At 46.5% G+C, this 21,010-nt stretch overlaps 2 protein-coding genes across 10 annotated transcripts in view, besides 4 other annotated features; both read right to left on the minus strand.

The window, feature by feature from the left end:
- NDUFA10 (NADH:ubiquinone oxidoreductase subunit A10) overlaps window positions 1–10,000 on the minus strand; it is a 132,901-nt gene extending 122,901 nt beyond the window's left edge. For 8 of the 9 annotated variants that reach the window (NR_136158.2, NR_136156.2, NR_136155.2 and 5 more), the window contains exons 1-4: window positions 9,885–10,000; window positions 6,830–6,998; window positions 5,855–6,070; window positions 3,211–3,297 (exon numbers count right to left, since the gene is read on the minus strand). Coding sequence is in view for 5 of the 9 variants with exons in the window: in NM_001322020.2 (NP_001308949.1) it covers window positions 3,211–3,297; window positions 5,855–6,070; window positions 6,830–6,998; window positions 9,885–9,959 (547 nt within the window). In the remaining 4 variants the exon portion in view is untranslated. The remainder of the gene's footprint in view (window positions 1–3,210; window positions 3,298–5,854; window positions 6,071–6,829; window positions 6,999–9,884) is intronic. The other variant, NR_136157.2, reaches the window with a different exon arrangement.
- Window positions 6,134–6,183: an enhancer, noted in NCBI's record as "active region_17393". NCBI's record gives its function as "activates an Ori minimal core promoter by ATAC-STARR-seq in GM12878 lymphoblastoid cells {active_cell/tissue: GM12878}" and the evidence as "EXISTENCE:reporter gene assay evidence [ECO:0000049][PMID:35858748]".
- Window positions 9,927–10,186: a silencer, noted in NCBI's record as "silent region_12505". NCBI's record gives its function as "represses an Ori minimal core promoter by ATAC-STARR-seq in GM12878 lymphoblastoid cells {active_cell/tissue: GM12878}" and the evidence as "EXISTENCE:reporter gene assay evidence [ECO:0000049][PMID:35858748]".
- Window positions 9,927–10,824: a biological region, named in NCBI's record as "H3K27ac hESC enhancer GRCh37_chr2:240964754-240965583".
- Window positions 9,995–10,824: an enhancer, noted in NCBI's record as "H3K27ac hESC enhancer chr2:240964754-240965583 (GRCh37/hg19 assembly coordinates)". NCBI's record gives its function as "activates a minimal SCP1, AML or CMV promoter by ChIP-STARR-seq in primed H9 embryonic stem cells {active_cell/tissue: H9 hESC(primed)}" and the evidence as "EXISTENCE:reporter gene assay evidence [ECO:0000049][PMID:30033119]".
- On the minus strand, window positions 14,149–15,087 carry OR6B2 (olfactory receptor family 6 subfamily B member 2). The gene has a single exon (NM_001005853.1). The coding sequence runs from the start codon at window positions 15,085–15,087 to the stop codon at window positions 14,149–14,151; it is 939 nt and encodes a 312-aa protein (NP_001005853.1).
- Window positions 15,088–21,010: the final 5,923 nt, after the last annotated feature.

Raw genomic sequence — 21,010 nt, forward strand, 5'->3', positions numbered from 1 at the left:
TATATATGTTGCAGGTATATAGTATACATGCTACTATATTTCTTCACAGTAATAATAGATACAAGAGTCTGGTCTTCTCTGAAGAATAAAGAACAGCTTTAAATACTTTATTTTTCAAATAACTCAGCTGAAAATCATCAAGCTGCATTTATCCCGTTTCAGTAGTATAATCAGCTGCACAGAAGTATCTACTGAGTCAGATTTAGTGACAACATGAAATTGAAAGCAGCTAAGGCTGAGGAATAATTCTCCTAAAGTGATCACTACACAGAATGCATAATCCAGGGGGCACCCGCAGGGCCCGTGCCACCCAAGGGAACCCTGCCGCTCTTCAGAGCACTCTGCACCTGCACATGCTCATGCACACCCGACCTCCCAGAAGCCAACAGAGAGTGCACGCCAGTGCATGTGGAGAGGCCATGCTGAGAAGCCATCCCCTCTGCAGCTTTTCACGTGTGGAACCTTCCAGAAGTGACAGATGGCCATGCTAGGGTCCACAGAAAGACAACTATTTTGCTTTAAAGGAAATGGGCTGGGCACAGTGGCTCACGCCTGTCATCCTGGCACTTTGGGAGGCCGAGGTGGGCGCAGATCACTGGAGCCCAGGAGTTCAGGACCAGCCTGAGCAGCATGGTGAAATCCCATGTCTACCAAAAATACAAACATTAGCCAGTCTCCTAACCTAGTCTCAAAATAAATAAATAAAAATTTTAAAAATTAAATTAAAAAAAAAAGTTCCAGTGAGCATTCCTAGTAACCTCACTCTAGAGGCAACTGTGGGATGAGCCTTTGGCTCAGGGTCAGGAACGGCACGAGCTAAAGAACAAGGAAGACCACCCAGGAGGAGGTGTGACAAAGCAAAGGACGGAGGCTGCCAGTGGAGTACCGTTCACCTGAGCATACAAACACAAACCCGCAGCCAGGCAGAGCACACGGGACCTCGGGTCTGCTTCCTGACTGCTGGACCGGTAGCAGGCCGGTCTCTCCTGCTGCTGAGGTGAAACCTCCCTTCACCGAGTCTGCTCTCACCCTGCTTCCCACCCTCACCCTTACTCCTGTCAGTACACCCACTTCTCAGGTGGTCCCCACCTTGCTCTATGCCACCTGTCCTTTAGCCAACATGATCTGCTTTCCCCCAGCCCAGCACTCAAACGACTCTGGCTAACATCACCAGCCCCCGAAAGGTGAAACGTGACAGTCACTTCTCAGTTCCCATCAGAGTCACAGCACATGTGACACCAACAACCAACCCTCCCCACATCCCCTCTGCTTCCTCCTGTGCACCTCTGATCATTCAGCTTCAATCCCTCAGTGGGGGTCTCATCACCCCAGAAATGGTCCCCAAAGGATCTGGTCTCAGCCCTCCCCCATCACCCCTTGGGCTTTCCCAAGGAAAGCATGCTCACGGTCAGTGCTGGACCCCCAACGCCTGCAGACTCCAGCCCAGGCCAGTCCTCAGACTTCAGCAGACACTCAGCAGATGCCGACAGGTATCTCCTGCCACCTTGCCATGGGAACCTCACACTCAGGAATCCAACGCCCAAACATGAAGCCACATCGGTCCACTGCCCCTGTGCATCCTTCCCCCTTAGCGGCCCACTAGCCAGGGCAGGTCCACGCCACTCCCCACTGTGCACACAGGAAACCACCCACCCAGGCCTGCCCAGTGTCCCTCCTGAGCGGCAACTCCCACTGCCCAGTGCAGCCTCCCTGCTGTGCACGCCTGTCCCACCCCAATTTCCTCCCAGATAGGCTCCTTCCCCTTCCGTCTCTCCTCACCAAATGCATCCTTCAGATGAAGGCCTGCAACCATTTTAAACTCACATCTAACCATGTCTCTGCCATGCTAAAAATCCTCCAGTGGTCCCTCACTAGTTTCAGGACAGAAGCCAAGCATCCTCGCCGAGGCGCAGCTCCTTCCTCGTGCAGCCTCATCCAGCATCATTCTCCCCCAGCACCCAGCCCTCACTATAGGACACCACCACCAGCCTGTGGCACACGCAGGCTTCTCCACCATCCCCACACGTCCCTCACTCCCACTGCGCTACAGATGACAGGCCATTCATCAAAACAGCTGTCCCTGACACTATCCCATCTCCCAGCCGGTTACACATTTCTCCTATGTGCCCCCAAAGCACCCAGGAGTAATGCTCAGGAGTGCTAAGTACACTTTATTACAATGAACCATCCCCATTGGTTCAACAGCCCCCAACCCCGGGCCCGTGGGAGCCTTGTCTTAAGTTTCTTCATATTCATATCCCTAGCACCTAAGAGAGCCTGCCACACCACAGGCACTCCAGAAACACTTGCTGGTGACCTGACCCGCTGCTCAGCATGTCCAGGGAGGATCAGCCCCTATCAGAAGCACGGGCTTGCAGTGCTCTTGCGGGCGGCAAGCTCACAGGTGGAGTACCGGCAACACCAGGACACACAAGCAGCCAGAAGCAGGCGCCTCCTCCACAGAATGGTCACCTGGCTTGCTTCGGCCTCCTCTTTCATTAATCAACAGTACTTCCTCTGAGCTCCCAGATTCCAGCTTTCCACTGGCTCCAGCCACCCCAGTCTACAGATGAAAATGCCGTCAGTCAGACTGTCCACCAGGCCTATTCAACCCACCGCCCAACACAGTCCTAGTCACAGACACCCCAACCCCACCCTGACTCCTCAAGGTCAGCCTGCTTCAAACCAGGGGGTCTTTGTTCCTTTCCATTTGCCACTTGTCAGACCTTCCCCAATACAGCAACACAAAGCTACTGTCCTGAAAAACGGCAGCGTGTCAGAGGGAAGCACTGTGATGATGCTGGCAACTGGCAGGGCTAACATCCCAATTCATCAAAATCACACACTAGAAACTGGAAAGTCTGTTACAATTAGAGCTACAGCCTAGGTATTGCTAGGGCAAGCTAAGAGCGGGGGAGGTTCTAACGGGAGGCTGTGGGGGCTGCACTTTAAGCTGCGTGTGTTTGAGGTCCAGGGCTCCAATCTGCTTTCACAGGGAGACATGACAGCACAAAAGACACCTATTTCAGGAGGGAGAAAGGGTGGAAGATACTTAGGAAGTTCCTTTTTCCAGCGGAGACCGATTAAGTAATGGCATTTATTCATCTATCTAACAGACATTCATAAACACAGTAAGTGCAAGGTGAGTCTATCACAGCCCTTGCAAAGTCGCACCACACACCCAGAAGTGGGTCTGCAATGCTGACTCACACTGCTTTCGGATGAATCCCTGGTTGTACATCGCCTCCAGGAACACAAAGTCACTGAAGATGGAGCGCTCCAACACAACACCTTGTCCTGTTTAAACATAGGCAAACAGAAATTGAAAATCAGACAGATAGCAAAGCACTGTCAACTGATCACTGCATTCCAGAGAAAAGAAAATAACAATCATTTACAATTCCATTTCCACACCAAAATACTGAAAAGAACATAGACATATTTGTAAGTGGGAAACCATTTTCAAAAACTGAAGTATCTTTTCAGTTTTGAGCAATATAACATCGTTTCATTAAGTCAGCTATAACAGAAAGCATCCGGTTAATACAAAAAGTGCTTGTTTTTAAATAACGTATTCCACCCCTACAGTGCCCACCCCCATCCTGCTCCTGCCCCCACCATTCCAGTCAGATCTACTGATGTTGGGCTACTTCTCAACCTCACCTCTGTCCACTCCCAGCCTCACTGGCTGTGTTACTATCACAGCAGCCCCGACGGACACTTGTGCAGCTCAGAGCACTAGTCCCCAGGGTCCCCAGCCAGCCTCCTTGCAGTCAGCCCTGCTGTGTCTGGGCAGAGGCCTCCCCTAATCTTCCTACCCAGCCTCTCCCCACAGCCTCCTTCCTCAGAGCAGCCACCACTCACTTGGGGCAAGACATTCCTGTTTCCACATCGAGTCTTCATCCCTCTACTAAAACACAGGCTTCCCTCCCTGTGGCGCCCTTAGCTCCCAGAATGGGTCTGGCACACAGCAGACATGCACTAAATATTTAATGAATACGTTAACCCAGTTCCAATTTGCCCCAAGAATACTGAGATGGGAGCAAGCTGCACTTTTTTTTTCTAAATGGGAAATAGGTTACTATAGCACCAAAAAAAGCAAGGCTTTATTTAACAAGTAAAATGTTTCTTTTTCATTTTAAGAAATGAGTAGTCAGAAGACAGGGTTGAAGAATGCTTTAAAAAGAACGTGGAGGCCGGGCGCGGTGGCTCACGCCTGTAATCCCAGCACTTTGGGAGGCCGAGGCGGGCGGATCACGAGGTCAGGAGATCGAGACCATCCCGGCTAAAACGGTGAAACCCCGTCTCTACTAAAAATACAAAAAAATTAGCCGGGCGTAGTGGCGGGCGCCTGTAGTCCCAGCTACTTGGGAGGCTGAGGCAGGAGAATGGCATGAACCCGGGAGGCGGAGCTTGCAGTGAGCCGAGATCCCGCCACTGCACTCCAGCCTGGGCGACAGAGCGAGACTCCGTCTCAAAAAAAAAAAAAAAAAAAAAAAAAAAAAAAGAACGTGGAGTAAGCCTGGATGTCAGTGTGAAGTCCACGCTACGACATCAGCTCCTGGATTGGCTCCTGGTAAAGAACCTCAAACCAGAAACAGCAGACCACATTGTTTTCTTAGGAGTAACACTAACCAAGATCAGGGTTTACGTTCATATAAGAAAAAAAGAAGCACTAATAAAATGTTTTCAACTTTTTCAAAGCAAGACAATAACTCCACCACCGTACAACTGTGTAGATACGTGTCATGGACACACACTGCATCCGTGGAGACCTGAAGGAGCATAGGCAGCGGCTCCTAGCTCAGCTCTGAGAAGAAGCCTGTGAGCCGGCCACTCCCAGTGAAAACCACATTCTTGTTCTCACGGCTCAGACCCCATGAAGCCAACCCTAGTGGCGGCTGAGCTTGTGCGTGAGAAGCTCATCAGGGGCACTGCCAATCAACGAAAGCAGCAAGCACTGCAATATAAAACAGACACGAAGGCCCTAAGAGTCCACCCATCTCCCTCTCTCCGCACACAGATGTGCCATTTGCTGCTACCTGTGAACTGAGGACCGCCGTGGCATGGTAGCTTTGACCAAAAATTGGCAGTGCATCTGCGGTCCAACTCTCAGGATGTCTAGCATGCACTGCTGTTTCCCAGAATGATTACAGTAACCCGTCGCTGGACCCTAACCTCATTCTGCACACAAGTAGTCCATGTTCATGCCCTTTCATCCACCTTCCCTTCCTCTCCTAACTATACTTTCTGATCCCTGTTTCCGTCTCCCAGGCTCCCCAGTACACAGCTCTTCCTTTCTGCTTTGGATACCTTCAAGGGAAGCATCCTCCCCTACTGCACTGGCCTATGGGACCCTGTGTGTTCTGCCTCCCCCCGTCATCTTATCAAGATTCACGTCTGCCTCGTGGCTTTATGGTGATTCCGGCCTATCTCTGGGCCCTCCGGGACAACCCTATGTTGTTGGCATCCACATCTCTGTCTGCATGGCACATGCACAGTCTTCATAAGTGTGATCCCGTTTCCTCCTGGACACTTCTGTGCTCTCTTTACCCCTTTGTTTTGACACATTTCATATATAAATGAATATGTAAGTATAGAAGCTTAAAGTAGTGCCTTGAGAATTCTATACAATCCATAAATCTCACTCCAGTATCCATAGTGAAACAGCATTAAATTAATTCTGAAGCAAAAATAACACAATCTCAAGAAATTCATGATCTTGTTGGAAAGACAGAACTCACCTCATCAAACACCCTTAAAGGAAAGCTCGACTCAGTGGCAATTTAACGTGGTTGAATTCTAGAATAGTGTTCAAGTACAGAACAGATCTAACTGCCCAGAAATACTGCACCTGTGGTCAGCAAGTGCTCCAAGGCATCTGAGTACTGCAGCAGGCGACTGCTGTACAACCAGGACTGCAGGCGGTAACTGTTGCCATCATTGCTTCTCGGATCATCGTAAAATTTCTCCAAACTACAGTTGCCATTATAGTCGGTGGCGAGGGGCTTCCCATCTCCTGTGGTACTGTCTGGATAATGAATCCCCGCTTCAGGAAAGTGCTTGAAGCCTGAAAAGAGAAACAGTCGGATGCAGTCTGATGCACATCACTCACTCCCCGCAGGGAGCAGTGGGGACTAGCCAAAACACACAGCCCGCCCGAATCTCACCGCCAGGGATGGAGCCAATGACCTAGAGAAAGTCACCTACATGCCTGGGTTTCATCACGTATGAAGGGAACACACAACATATACAAGCAAGCATGTGAGCGAAAGAGCTTGCACAGTGCCCTTATCCAGGTTCCTCCTGAAAGGACTGCTCCCTGTAACCACAGGAGCCCCCTCTAGCGGGCAGCTGCTGTCATGCAGGTGCTACAGAAAGGTACAATGGACACTCAGCTGCACCAGGAGTCAGGAAGGGGCTCTAACCTTGGCTTTGGGACCCAGCTATGTGGCATCTGCTCACTCAGGAGTACACCCATCTGTGAGTGAGTACCATCCTCGGCTCTATTTCAGAGGCTGTCACAAAGTTCAAACACGACAGTTTATGTGGAAGTGCCCTGCTTACACTGCCCACATAAAATTCCAATTCAAATTGACAACCAGCATGGATTTTCACAAATTTTCCAAACATAAAAGATTAAAAACAGCTTTTTCTTGTTTCGTTTTATAAAACAGCTTTTTCAATAAACAAAAATGTGAAATACCCACCTTAGGCCCAATTATTAAATATTTAATATTATTTAATATTAATATTGAAGAAAAACCAGTGAAATAAGCAACCATATATCTGAGAAAAAGGTATCATTCTGTGTAACATAAAATCATACCTAGTTTCTCTGCTATTTCTTTTGCAAGTTTGCCTTTTCCAGTACATATATTGCCATCTACAGTTATCACTCTGCTGCGTTCTGTCAGTCTTTTGCTTGCTTTATCCCCAAGTAGGAAATGCCACATTCCATAGCGCAGTTTGCACTGCACACTGCTATGAATTCCTCTCTGAAAAACACAAAATCACACAGCAGCACATTGTGACCACTCTGGTTCCTGTAGGCATTAGTAACTATTAGGTAAAAATACCAAGAAACCTCTTAGTGATAAAAATGCCAACATCTACATCTTTATTGCCTATTAATTTGTTTAATTATCTGTCTATCCCCCACCACTCTGTCCATGTAAGTTTCGTTAAAGGCAGATATACTGTCTGTTTGTTCACTGCTAAATCCTCAGGCCCTGGAACAATGCCTGAAATTTTTATTAAATATGTTTACTATGTTCAATAAAAATTGGAGGGAGGGAGGGAGGGGTGGATGGATGGATGGATGGACGGACAGACGGGAGGAAGAAAGACAGGGATGGAGGGAAGCTCAGGAGTGAAGGGAAGGGAATAAAAAACATTTCTCTAATCCAAGCTTCTGTCCCCATGTCCTGACCTCGTTACCCCACTGCCTATTAAACAGCTCCACCTAGATGTCCTGAAGGCACCTGAAGGTAACAGAGCTAAGGTGAAATGCAACATCCATATCCTAGCCCCCAAGTCTGCTTTCCCTCACAGCAAGGAATATCCACTACCTAACAAGCAAAAGAGAGCAAATTTGAGTGTCGTCTTTGATACCTTTCTCCTTCCTTCAACTGCAGAATTACACACAAAATCCTAACTGTTCAGACTCTCTGGACACTGCATCGCCTCCCTATGCCATGTGCTGACTCTGTCGGCACCCTCACACCTCTCATCTACAAGGCAAAGACCTGCTTCAATGCCTGTCTCCAGCAGCCCAATTTACTCTCCACACTAAAGTGGGAACATTCCTTCCAAAAAAAGAAAAGAAACATAACCAAAAGTAAAACAAACTGAAGAAGTTCAACAGATATGATGGGGTAATAACCTTACTATATACAGAAATTGTACAGAACAATAAGAAAACAAAGAATAAAAACACACAGCTTATTTTAAAATTATAAAATATAGCCAAAAACCACATGAAAAAGTGGTCAACCTTGCTACAAAAAAACAAAAGACTATTAACAAGGAAACATTAGTTTTTCATGTGTCAAAATGAGAAATAATTTAAAAAATGATTACAGAGTTAGGACAAGACAATGAGTACCATCCTAAACTGCTAATGGTAATGAAACCTAGAGGACGCTGGGTCTACAGCATTAGGAATCCATTCAAAGAGTATATACATAAGATTGACCTATAAGGATGCTCAATGAAGTATGATGTAACACCAAAAATGCAAATAGAAACCCTTAAATGTCCAACAACGGAGGAATAGTTAAACAAAATTAAGGCATATCCATATTATGGAATACTAAGTACTCAGAAAAACACAAAAATATTAAAATACTTTATAGTGAAATTTAAATAAAACAGGAGAATATGAAATATCAAGATATTTTTCGATCTTGATTTGATAACTGAAGAGTAAGGAAGAAACAAGTTACAAAACAAGGCAAAGCAGACAACCCAATTTAAAAATGGGCAAAAGATGTAAACACCTCTCGCAAATGAAATTAACGCAGATAGCAAATAAGTATATGAAAAGATGAACACTGTATATCATGAGATATTCCAAAGTTGAAACAAGATACCACTACGCAGCTATCAGAATGGATAGCAATCCAAAGTAACCGACAGCCCCGCATGCTGGCGAGCACGCAGAGCAACAAGGAGAGCCTTCACTTCTGGTGGGAGTCAAATGGCACAGTCACTCTGGAAGATGGCTTGGCAGCTTCTTAGAAAACTAGTCTTACTACATGAGTAATCGCTCTTCCAGGTATTACCCAAATGATATAAAAATGTATTTCCAAAAAGAAATCTGCATGTACACGATTACAGCAGCTTTATTCATAATTGCCAAAAACTTGAAGCAACCAAGATGCCCTTCAATTGCTGAATGAATTGAAGTACATCCATGCAATGAGATATTACTCAGTGATTAAAAAGAAATGAGTTACCAAGCCACGAAGACATAAGTGAATCTTACATAGATATTTCCAAGTATTCAAGGCGTCTGAAAAGGCAATATATTGTATGATTCTAATTATATGACATTCCAGAAAAGGCAACTATGGAAATGTTAATGAGATCTGTGGTTGTCAGGGGTTGGAGAAAAAGAAGGGTTTAATAGGTAAAGCAGAGGGGAATTTTTTAAGGCAGTGAAGCTACTCTGTACGAACCTATAATGGTGGAGACATGCTATTACACACGTGTCAAAACCTATAGAACCTTATAGCACAAAGAAAAAATCCATAGAACCTTATAGCACAAAGAATGCGCTCAATGTATGCACATTTTAAAAAACGCATTAGGTAGAAGGATCCCAAGATGTAAGGCAGAATGTGACAAAGCAATCCAACTGTGTTACAAATGTATGAAACGATTTCACTGAAGAAGGTGGGGGCAAAATGCTAAGAAATGAGAGTAGTCAGTCAGAGTAAAGGCAAAAGGAAGCGGACACAAGCACTGAACTCCGTGTCTGCTCAACATGGCATCACCCAAGCACCCAGCAGGGCCCGACCTTTAAACGGCTCTTGACAGGGCTGCTACGTGAATTATCTAATGACAAGCGCGTGTGCCCCCGGCCTGCCACCTGCACACGGGCCTCCCGCATCAGGGCAGCCTCGGGGCCCTGATCACCTCCGCGCTCCAGCGTTTTGCTTAAAGCTGAGATAAAATGGCCTGGAGAAGCTCGTGGCCCCCTGAGGTCTGTCCACGACCAAAGACCAAACAATTCCGGAGGCAGGAGGGGTCCCCCAAACCCACCCGGAGAGCGACCTGGGAGCCGCCGCCAGAGGCCGGGGGAGATGTGGAACTGCTCCCCACCCCGCCACCCCGCCACCCTGCCACCCCGCCACCCTGCCACCCCGCCGCCCGCTCACCACGCGCTGGGCGCCCGCCGCCACGACCCGGGCGGACGCGGACGTCGCTGCCAGCTTCAGGAGCCGCAAGGCCATGGCTACCCGGTCAGCTCAGGATCAAGGACCCAAGGGGACGCGGTCGCGACGGGGCCCTCTCTCGCGGCCGGCGCGCTGCCGTGACGTCACGGCCGGGGTGCCCGCGGCGCCTGTCGGGAACCTTCCAGGGGGCGGGGCCGCGCCGAGGCCCTCGGGGGCTTCCGCGGAGACAGCCAGTGCGCTGCCAGGGTCCTGCGGGTTGGGGCGAGGGCCGAGAGGTGGGAGTTGGAGGTGAACGTGGGGGCAGCATGCTGGCTGCCCGGCCCCTGCCTGGGTTCTGAGTTGCTGCGGTGTCGCGGGAGCTGAGGCCGCCCAGGGCGTGGAGCGACTTCTGCGTCTCGTCCCAGGGTCCTGTGCTCCCCGCAGAATCCCCCAGGCGCGGTGTGGACGTCAAAGCGACCTCCTAGAGAACATTCCTAGCTCTCAGAACGTTCTCGCTGGGGAGGGAAAGTGGAAAAAGAGGGGGCGAGGAGCGGAGGGACGGGGTGGGACCCCTGTCGCGGGGCGCCTGTCAGGGAGAGGGACCTGGCAAGGCCGGCCTGGGTCGCCTCCGGAGCTGAAGGCTAAGTGGTCTCATCCAGGGGACCTGCTGTGAACACATTGAATAGCATAGAAAACAAAAGCACACGCTCCAAGTCCATCTCTTTTTTTTTTTTTTTTTTTTTTTTTTTTTTTTTTTTTTTTTGAGGCAGAGTCCCGCTCTGTCGCCCAGGCTGGAGTGCGGTGGCGCCATCGCGCTCACTGCAAGCTCCGCCTCCCTGGTTCACGCCATTCTCCTGCCTCAGCCTCCCGAGTAGCTGGGACTACAGGCGCCCGCCGCCACACCCGGCTAATTTTTTGTATTTTTAGTAGAGACGGGGTTTCACCATGTTAGCCAGGATGGTCTCGATCTCCTGACCTCGTGATCCACCCGCCTCGGCCTCCCAAAGTGCTAGGATTACAGGCGTGAGCCACCGCGCCGGCAAGTCCATCTCTTAAAATGTGCTCCCGTCAGGACCTGGGCTCTGGGCTCCACGAAGGAGCCTTGCATGTGAGGTTTCCTTCCAAGTATGCCTGCTGTTGGGAAGGGTTTTTATAATCTTTTGTGTTCCCCAGGCTTTTTGTTCTTAACCCCTTAAATATTCTTTAACTTTGTTTTCAACTTTTCAGAAATGATCATGCGATTGTAAAACAGTGGGAATGCAGCTGTGTAAACTACGGCCGGTTCTATGGATGTTTCTATAATTGAAGAATTGCTTTTTGTCAAAAATACGGATTCCCGGTCCCCAACGCAGGAGGGTCTGGTTTTTAGATCCTGGAGGGCACCTGAAATCCATTTAACAAGCTTTAGGGTTCATGTCTGCTGTTTTTTGCCTTGTTTCCTTTGCATTTTTTTTTTTTTTTTTTTTTTGTGCCTTCCAATGGATACAGTACATTTTTTTAGAATTCCATCTTGATTTACTGATAATGTCTTGGGAAATATCATTATGTATAGTTTTCGTAGTGGTTCCTCTAGGTATCACAGCACGCAGACGTAACTTCTCACAACCTGTTTGCGTGGATGTTTTGTTGTACCTGAGCGAGTTAGAAAAACACCACCTTTGAGACGAATTAAGAGTCCTTTATTAGCTGGCGACCGAGAGACGGCTAACGCTCAAAATTCTCTCAGCCCCGAGGAAGGGGCTTGATTAACTTTTATACCTTGGTTTAGGAAGGGGGGGGGGTCTAGTTAAAACAATTTTACAGAAGTAAAGTAGTCAAAAAGTTAAAAGGGTAAATGGTTACAGGAAAGTAAACAGTTCAAGGTGCAGGGGCTTTAAGACTATTACAAGATGATAGACCCGGGGCTTTGGGCGTTATCAATCGGACAAATTCCTGGGAACTGCGGATGTAGCTTGCCACAGTATCTTACCAGTTAATTGCATTCTTGGATGTGGTGGGAGTCAGCCTGCACAAGTTAAGTCCTTGAGAAAGGGGCTGCCAGTGAAAGAGCCAAGATGGAGTCTGTCTGGCTCTCTTAGCTAAGGGAGAGTCAATTCAGGTGGAAACAGGGCTAGGTGATTAAAGGAAAAGGGAGAGTCTGAAAACAGTTAGTAAAAACCAGGTTGGGCATTACAGTTTTACTGGTTCAAGGGAAGTATTACTATATACTTCCCCGTCCCTCCGCTTCTCGCCCCCCTTTTTCCGTTTTCCCTCCCCAGCTAGAACGTTCTGAGAGCTAGGAATGTTCTCTAGGAGGTCGCTTTGACGTCCACACTATATTAGACAGCATGAAAATAACTTCAGACCCCAATAGACCAATATCTCTCGTGAACTTAGACACAAAAATCCTTAACGAAATGTTAGCAAATTGAATCCAACACTATATGAAATGAATCATACACCACAACCCAAGGTGGTTTATTCAGAAGATGCAAGGCTAATCTGGTATTTGAAAATCAACCAATGTAATACACCTTACCAGCAGGTGAAAGACGAAATCTATGACCAGATTGCCTGATGCAGTTTTCTGCATCACTTGACAAAATTAAATACTCATTTATGATAAAAACAAAAACTGCTCTCAGCAAATAAGGACTAAAGGGGAGCTGCTTCAGCTTGATAAAGCACATGCGTGAAAACTCTGCATCATTGTACTTAATCATGAAAGACTGAATGCTTGCCTTCTAAGGAGGAAACAAGGCAAGGATATCTGCTCTGCCCACTCTTATTCAACAGAGCACTGGAAGTTCTAGTAATAGGCCATGCAGTATGGCAAAAAATAAAAAATGAAATTCATACAGATCAGAAAGGAAGAAATAAAACTGTCTATTTTTAGTTGACATGACTGTTCACATAGAAAACCCAAAGGAATCTACAAAAACCTCCTGGAACTAATGAGTGAGCGCAGCAAGTTTGCAGGCTGCAATGTCAACATATGAAAATCAGCTGCATCCTATGTACTAACAACAAACAGAAGGAAACTGAAATAAAAGATGGAATACCATTTACAGTTGCTTCAAAGAAAATATAATATTTAGGTCTAAATCCAGCAAAACACACACAGAATCTGCATATTAAAAAGTACAAAACACTGATTTAAAGAATGAAGACCTCAATAATTGGAGGGGTTTACTATGTTCATGGATTGAAAGACTCAACAGAGTAATGAAGTCAGTTCTTCCCAAATTGATTTTTAGGTTTAATGGAATTTCTAGCAAAATCTCAGCGAGGTTCTCTTGTAGACATTGACAGGCTTACTATAAAATTTATATAAAAATATAAAGGCTGTACAATAGCCACAATAATTTTGAAGCAGAAGAATAAAGTGGGAGGAGTCACTCTTCCAGTGTTAAGATTTACTACATAATCATATAAATCAAGACTGTGTTGTATGGATGGAGGGTGTGATATTGATAGATACGTAGATCAATTTAACAGAACAGAGGATCCAGAAATAAGCCAGCACAAATATTCTCAACTGACGCAGTAGTGCACCACACAATGACATTTGGTGAATGATGAACTGAACGGCACATAAGATGGTGGTCCCATAAGATTATGACATTATATTTTGACTTACCTTATCTGTGTTTAGATGCATAAATTATGGATGAGCACAGTGGCTCACACCTGCTGGGACAGGTGGGACAGGGTTTCACCCAGCATAATGTATTATGTATATATAATACACAATACAGTATATGCATTATCCCAGTATATGTATTATCCCAGTATGAATGTATTATGCATTGTGTATTATACAGTATAAATGTATTATTTATTATGAATATTGGATAGCAATGAGAATGCATGAATTATTGTTACATGCAAAAACATCAAGGATTCACTCAAGCAACACGGTGAATGAAAGAAGCTGAACATAACAGGGCACATACTTTATGTGTAAGCCCCTCAGAAACACCAATGCTAGCATCTGGTTTTGGAAGTCAGGACAGTGCTTTTTGTGGAGAAGGGTTAATGACTGGGAGAGGGCGTGAAGGCAGCTTCTAGTTCTTGATCTGGGAGCTGGTTCCATGAGCACAGTCCTTTTGTGAAAACATATGCAGACGAAGGCTTGTTACTTGTGCACAGTTGTGTAGGTTTGTTAAATTTCACTTAGTTCTGTAGGTTTGTTAAATTTAACTTAAAAATTAATTTAAAGAGCACAAAGTGCCACATACAATGTTGTTTCATCACTACAGATTTTACTCTAGGACATTTAGTTGTCTTAGTGTGAAGTTTGACCCAAGCCCAAGGCCTTTTTCAAGGCGTCCTTAAATTCCTTGTTCCTCAGGCAGTAAATCAAAGGGTTAATTATTGGCGTGACAACAGTGTACACGGCAGAGATGAGCTTGTTGGAGCTCTGGGAATCAATGGCTTGGGGCCGGACATACATGAAAAGCAAGGCTGTATAGAAGACGGTGACCACGGTGAGGTGAGAGGCGCAGGTAGAGAAGGCTCTCCAGCAGCCGGTGGCCGAGGGGATGCGCAGGACAGCCAGGGTGATGTGCCAATATGACAGTATGGTGGCCAGGAGCGGAAACACCAGGATGATGAAGGCCAGGATGAAATCCACCAGCTCTGCAGTGGAGAAGTCCGTGCAGGCCAGCTTGAGGATGGGGGAAATGTCACAGAAGAAGTGGTTCAAGACGTTGGAGCCACAGAACGTGACGCTGGAGATAAAACAGACCTTGATCATGGAGATGGTGAAGCCACTCACAAAGGAGAAGCCCACCAGCTGGAGGCACAGCCCCGGGGTCACAAGGACGTGGTAGCGCAGCGGGTGGCAGATGGCCACGTAGCGGTCGTAGGCCATGGAGGCCAGAAGCACACACTCGGTGCACACCAGGGAGCTGAAGAAGTAGAGCTGCGTCATGCACCCGACGAAAGAGATGCGTTTCTGCTGGAGGAGGAAGCCCTCCAGCATCTTGGGGGTGATGTCAGACACGTACCAGATCTCCAGGAAAGACATGGAGCTCAGAAAGTAGTACATGGGCCTGTGGAGGGAGGTGCTGCTCCAGACGATGAGGATGATGGCCAGGTTCTCCACCAGGACAAAGAGGTAGGTGAGCAGGAAGAGGAGGAAGAGCAGGTACTGCAGCCCTGGGGCCGTGGGGAGGCCCACCAGGATGAAGGTGCTGACCTTGGTGACATTCTCCCCACTCATGCCTCTGTGCTTGGGAGCTGCAGGCCTACAAAACATCAAAGAGCAAGAGGAAAGGGCTGCAGGGCAGCTGAGGCAGAGAGAGAGTGGAGCTGGACTTGGATGGGGAGTTTTGGTGCAAAGAGAGGCCACGTGGCTCCCCAGAGCACCAGGAGAGAGCAGTGATCTGCTGATCTTCTGAGTTTTAAAGTAGAAAACTTCTGTGTGCTTGCATTTACATATAACCATGAAGTAGGAATGAGGAAGAGAGTATATGCTGAGGAACAGAGCCGGGCAGCTCCAGGGTGGGCAAAACCCAAAGCTCTGAGTCCAGGGGCACTACCAGTCCACACGTGCCTGGGGCAGCTCTCAAGATCCAAGTGGGCATGGACACAGAGCTGGCCCTCCTTAGGGTCCTTCATCTGAGGGTTCCTGCAAGTCGGGGCAGCAGCCTCGGCATGAGGTGAGGGGCTATCAGCCTACCAGGGCAGAACCCCAAACTGGGCTAACCAGCCGGAGGAATGCAGGGAGGGCTCCCAGGAAAGGGCTGCCTGGCTCTGGGGGACCTGGTCCACAGGTGGGGGAGAGAGAGGGTAGCCACAGCCCCTTGCCCCACAGGGCATCTGGTGGTTCTTTTCATTGGCAGTCTAGGTGGGTTGAATGGCAGACTTCCACCAGCTCACAGCTGGGGAGGGTGACCCCAGGTTTCTGGCCCAGGATGCTAAAAATTGATGAGAAGACTAGGAGAGGGCCAGGTGGGTGCCGAATAATCTGGAGTCTGTGCTGGGGAGGCGTGGTGCGCGGCACTTACTGGAGAGCCTCATGGTGACGTGTAGGGGGTTGGCTAGACAAGTCGAGTTCATGGAAGAGTTGCAGGCTGAAAAACAAACTTCTAGAAGGGAATTGCCCAGGGACAGGTTTACACTTGGAAACGCACCTGTACTCCTGCCGTCTAGGGTGAGCATTCTGTGGGAACCCAAGATCATCCACTGGGGCGGCATGGCCATTCCCTGCCTTAAAATGCCAGCGTGCAGTTCAGAGTTTAGGATCAATTTCACAAGCATTTACTACTCACTCCAGTCACCGCCTACTGTCTCCCCAAAACAAAAGCAATAAGAACCCCTGCCATTAAAGGGGTCTCAAGATGTGAGTCTGAATGTAGCCTCTCTAGACACCATCCAGGGTGGTGACTGTGTCCTCTTCCCAGCTGAGTGGCCACAGGGGGCTTTAAAGTCCACAAGGAGGAAAGTTGGGGTCCACAGGAGCTCCTTGGAAGGCCAGCAGCCCCCACCTGTTGACTGGGTTTGCTGGGGAGAGCTGGCGGTGGGGGTAGTGAGCTTTGGTTCTTGTGCTTTTAACCCAGAACAGTAGAGGCACCTATAGATTTCTCTTGATTATTTGGATAGTGGTAACTGATCATTAGTGAGTTGGCTAGTTAATACCGGATTGATTCATTAAATTGAAACTGTGTTACTTTACAAATTCAGGGCCCTTTACAGCACACTCTATCCATCCCCTGAACTTGTTAGACAATGGCTGCATTTTCTTTTAAATAAACTTTTTATTTTGGAATAATTTTAGATTTACAGAAAAGTTACAAAGAGAGTGCAGAGAGCTCTGGGAGATCCTCCATTCAGCTTCCTCCAAGGCTAACTTCCTACATGAAGAGGGTATATTTGTCACAGTAAGGGATTGATATTGGTATTACTGTGGACTAAACTCCAGACTTTGGCTTTCATCTTTTTTTCCCTCGAATGCCCGTTTCTGTTCCAGGGTACCCCATCGCTGCGGGCATGGCTGCCTTTTTAACTTGGCTGTACCTCCCTGGTTTCTGTGGACAGACTGAAAGTCCAAGCGGACGCTGCCGAGGGAGGCTGGCATCCTCTCATCGTAAACAAGGTTCTCCAATATGTTACAAAGACTGTTTTTGCCCAGTCACAAATTCAAACCTAGGTCTCCAATCTGAGAGAGGAAAGTGAAGCTTTCCGTACCACAGAACGGATGTATTTTGGGGTGGTCCGTGAGACGGGTACTGCAGTAGCTCCTCCCGGCTGCACCTACCATCAGCCTGCAGCCATTTACTCTGATGCCTTCCCTGGTGCCTGGCAGAGCCACCCAGAACCAGTCCTCGTCAATGATGAGTGAGCAAATGCTGTCTGCCCCATTCAGCCACCTGAGGCTGCTGGCTGATTCTGGGTATGATGTTAGACATCAGGGCATAACCCAATGCCTGTGAATATGTACCCAGCACAGTACTCAAAAATGCAAGGGCCATTTATGGAGCATCCATGAGCCATCCTGCTTGGTGCTGGCCGTGAGACTGCAGAGGGGAGTCCCTGCTCCAGACTGTATGTGGGGGGCATGTGGAGTGGGGATTGTCAATCACACACATAAAAGAAGAGCTCTCTCCCCATGCAAGGAATACAACGTACCCTAAAATCACAGCGAAAGGAGCCCATCGGCAACATGGAAAGTGCTGGATCCTACCTGGGGCGTCTGGAAGCCTCACTGCAAACGGCTGCAGCTGCCTGCAGGAGTGAAGAGTGGCTTCTGCCTGTGTCCAGCAACTCCCAGTCTGGCCACAGTGACCAGACGAGCCTTGAACATGCTCTTGAGAAGTGGGCTGCCTGAGGCACTGGGGAGAAACCACTGTGGCTTTTTCTGATGAGCATAGGGACTCCAGGGTCCAATTATCCCCCTGATGATGGAAAGGCCCACACTGCCAATTAGGTGAGCCTGTGCCTCTGGGGCCAGGCTGGCCCCTGCCTGGCTGAGGGCACCCAAGCAGAGGCTGTTGAGCCCGCTCCTGGCTCCCTGTTTGGGCCCTTCGCCCTCCTCAGTGGCTATCTATCTCCCACACTCCCTACTGGAGGAGCTGCTGTCCATGGGCCACCCTTGTTCCTGCACAGCCCGCACCCTCTGAGGGAAGAATTTGTCCCACCTGACCTCTGTTTCCTCTCTGGTCCAATTTTTCCGACCTCCCCTGTTCTCGCCACTCTAATTCCATGGCCCCAGGTGCTCCTCAGATAGGCTGGCTCCTGCCACCCCGCTTGGGGCTTTGGGACTCACTGTGCCCTCTGGAATGTTCTCCTTCCGCATCAGCCCGCCCCCTCCCTCACTTCCTACAATCCCACACCCAGCCAGGACATTCCTTTTTCCTCCCCTGCCAGATGAGGAAAGGGAGAAACCCTCTCTGGCCTCTCCCAGCTGCCAGGGGAGAAACCCTGTCTGGCCTCTCCCAGCTTCTGGGGGCTCCTGGCTTCAGGGTCTGTGGCACCAACACTTTGATCTCTGCATCTCAGGTCACGTCACCTCCCATGATCTGTGTGTCAGATCTCTTCTGTGTGTCTCCTTATATGAGTGTTTATTATTTTCAAATTTATGCATAATAGATGAATATGTTTTTGGAGTACATATGATAATTGAATGCAATTATAATTTGTAAATATCAAATCAGTGTAAATGGGCTATTCATCACCTGAAATATTTGTCTTTTCTTTATACCAGAAACATTCAAATTATTTCTCTTATGACTATTTTGAAATATGCAATAGATTACTGAAAACTATAGTCACCTTACTGATCTCTAATGCTCAGTCTTATTTCTTCTATCAAACTATACATCTGTATCCATTAATCAACCTCGCTTCATCCCGCAGTCCCCTATACCCTTCCCAGCCTCTCATAACCACCAATCTACTATTTCCATGAGATCCACTTTTTAAGCTCCCACATATGAGTGAGAACATGCGATATTTGTCTTTGTGCCTGGCTTATTTCACTTAACATAATGACCTCCAGTTCCATCCATGTTGCTGCAAATAACAAGATTTCATTCTTTTTATGGCTGAATAATATTCCACTGCATATAGTACCACTTTTTTTAATCCATTCATCCATTGAGGTGGACACTTAGATTGATTCCATATTTTGGCTATTGTGAATAGGGCTGCAATAAACATGGGAGTGCAGATATTTCTTCAATGTATTGATTTGCTTTCTTTTGGAGATATACACAGTAGTGGAAAGGTTGGATTTTATGGTAGTTCTATGTTTATTTTTTTGAGAAACCGCCATTGTGTTGCCTATAGTGGCTGTACTGATGCCCACTTTCACCACTTTTGTTCAATCGTAGTACTGGAAGTCCTAGTCAGAGCAATCAGGCAAGAGAAAGAAATAAAAGGCATCCAAATTGGAAAGGAGGAAATTATATTAGTCTTGTTTGCAGACAACATGATCTGATAGTTTGAAAAACCTAAGAACTCCACCAAAAATAATGTATATTCATCAACAATGAATGAGGGTTCTGCTTTCTCTACATTCTCACCAAAAACTATTATTCCCTGTCTTTTTTAAAATAAAAGCCATTTTAAATGGGATGAGATGGCATCTCACTGTGGTTTTGATTCACATTTCTGTGATTATTAGTGATGTTGAGCATTTTTTTACAAACCTGTTTGCCATTTGTATGTATTCTTTTGAGAAATATATATTCAGATCTTTTGCCCATTTTTAAATGAGATCATTTGGGTTTTTTGCTTTTTTTTTGCCACTGAGTTGTTTGAGCTCCTTATATATTCTGGTTATTAATCCCTTGTCAGATAGATAGTTTGTAAACATTTTCTGTGGGTCGTCTCTTCACTCTGTTGATTGTTTCCTTTGTTGTGTAGAAACTTTTTAGTTTGATGTAATCTTATTTCTCTGTTTTTGCTTTGGTTGCCTGTTCTTTCCAGGTCTTACACAAGATCATTCTTTGCCCAGACCAATGTCCTGGAGTGTTTCCGCAATGTTTTCTTCTAGTGGTTTTATAGTTTTGAGTCTTAGATTTAAGTCTTTAATCCATTTGGATTGAATTTTTGTATGTGGTGAGAGATGGGGGTCTAGTTTCATTCTTCTGCATATGGATATCCAGTTTTCCCAGCACGATTTATTGACGAGACTATCCTTTCCTCATCATATGTCTTTGGCACCTTTGTTGAAAAGGAGTTCACTGTAAATGTGTGGATTTATATCTGGGTTCTCTATCCTGTTCCATTGGTCTATGTGTCTGTTTCTATGCTAGTAACATGCTGGTTTGGTTACGGTAGCTTTATAGTATATCTTGAAGTCACGTCGTGTGAGGCCTCCACCTTTGTTCTTTTTGTTCAGGATTGCTTTGGTTATTAGGGGTCTTTTGTGATTCCATATAAATTTTAGGATTTTTTTTCTATTTCTTTGAAGAATATCACTGGTATTTTGATAGAGATTACATTTAATCTGCAAATTCCTTTGGGAAGTATTGTCATTTTAACAATATTAATCCTTCCAACTAATAAGCATGAAGTATCTTTCCATTTTCTGTGTCGTCTTCAATTTTTTTCATTAGTGTTTCATAGTTTTCATCTTACAGATCTTTCACTTCTTTAGATAAATTGAGTCCTAGGTATTTTATATTCTTCATAGCTATTATACATGGGTTTGCTTTTTAATTTTTTTTTAGATCGTTCACTGTTGGCATATATAAATAGTACTGACTTTTGCATGTTGATTTTGTATCCTGCAACTTTACTGAATTCGTTTATTAGTTCTAAACATTTTTTTTTTTGGTGGAGTTCTTAGGTTTTTCTAACTATCAGATCATGTTGTCTGCAAACAAGACTAATATAACTTCCTCCTTCCCAATTTGGATGCCTTTTATTTCTTTCTCTTGCCTGATTGCTCTGGCTAGGACTTCCAGTACTATGCTTGAATAAAAGTGGTGAAAATGGGCATCCTTGTTTAGTTCCAAACCTTAAAGGGAAGGTTCTGAAATTTTCCCAATTCAATATGATGTTAACTGTGGGTTTGTCATATATCGCCTTTATTATTTTGAGGTATGTTCCTTCTAAACCCAGTTTTTTATCACAAACAAATGTTGAATTTTGTCAAATGCTTTTTCAGTATCTGTTGATATGATCGCAGTCTTTTT

This window comes from Homo sapiens, chromosome 2, assembly GCF_000001405.40.
Source record: "Homo sapiens chromosome 2, GRCh38.p14 Primary Assembly".
NCBI classification, from domain to species: Eukaryota; Metazoa; Chordata; class Mammalia; order Primates; family Hominidae; genus Homo; species Homo sapiens.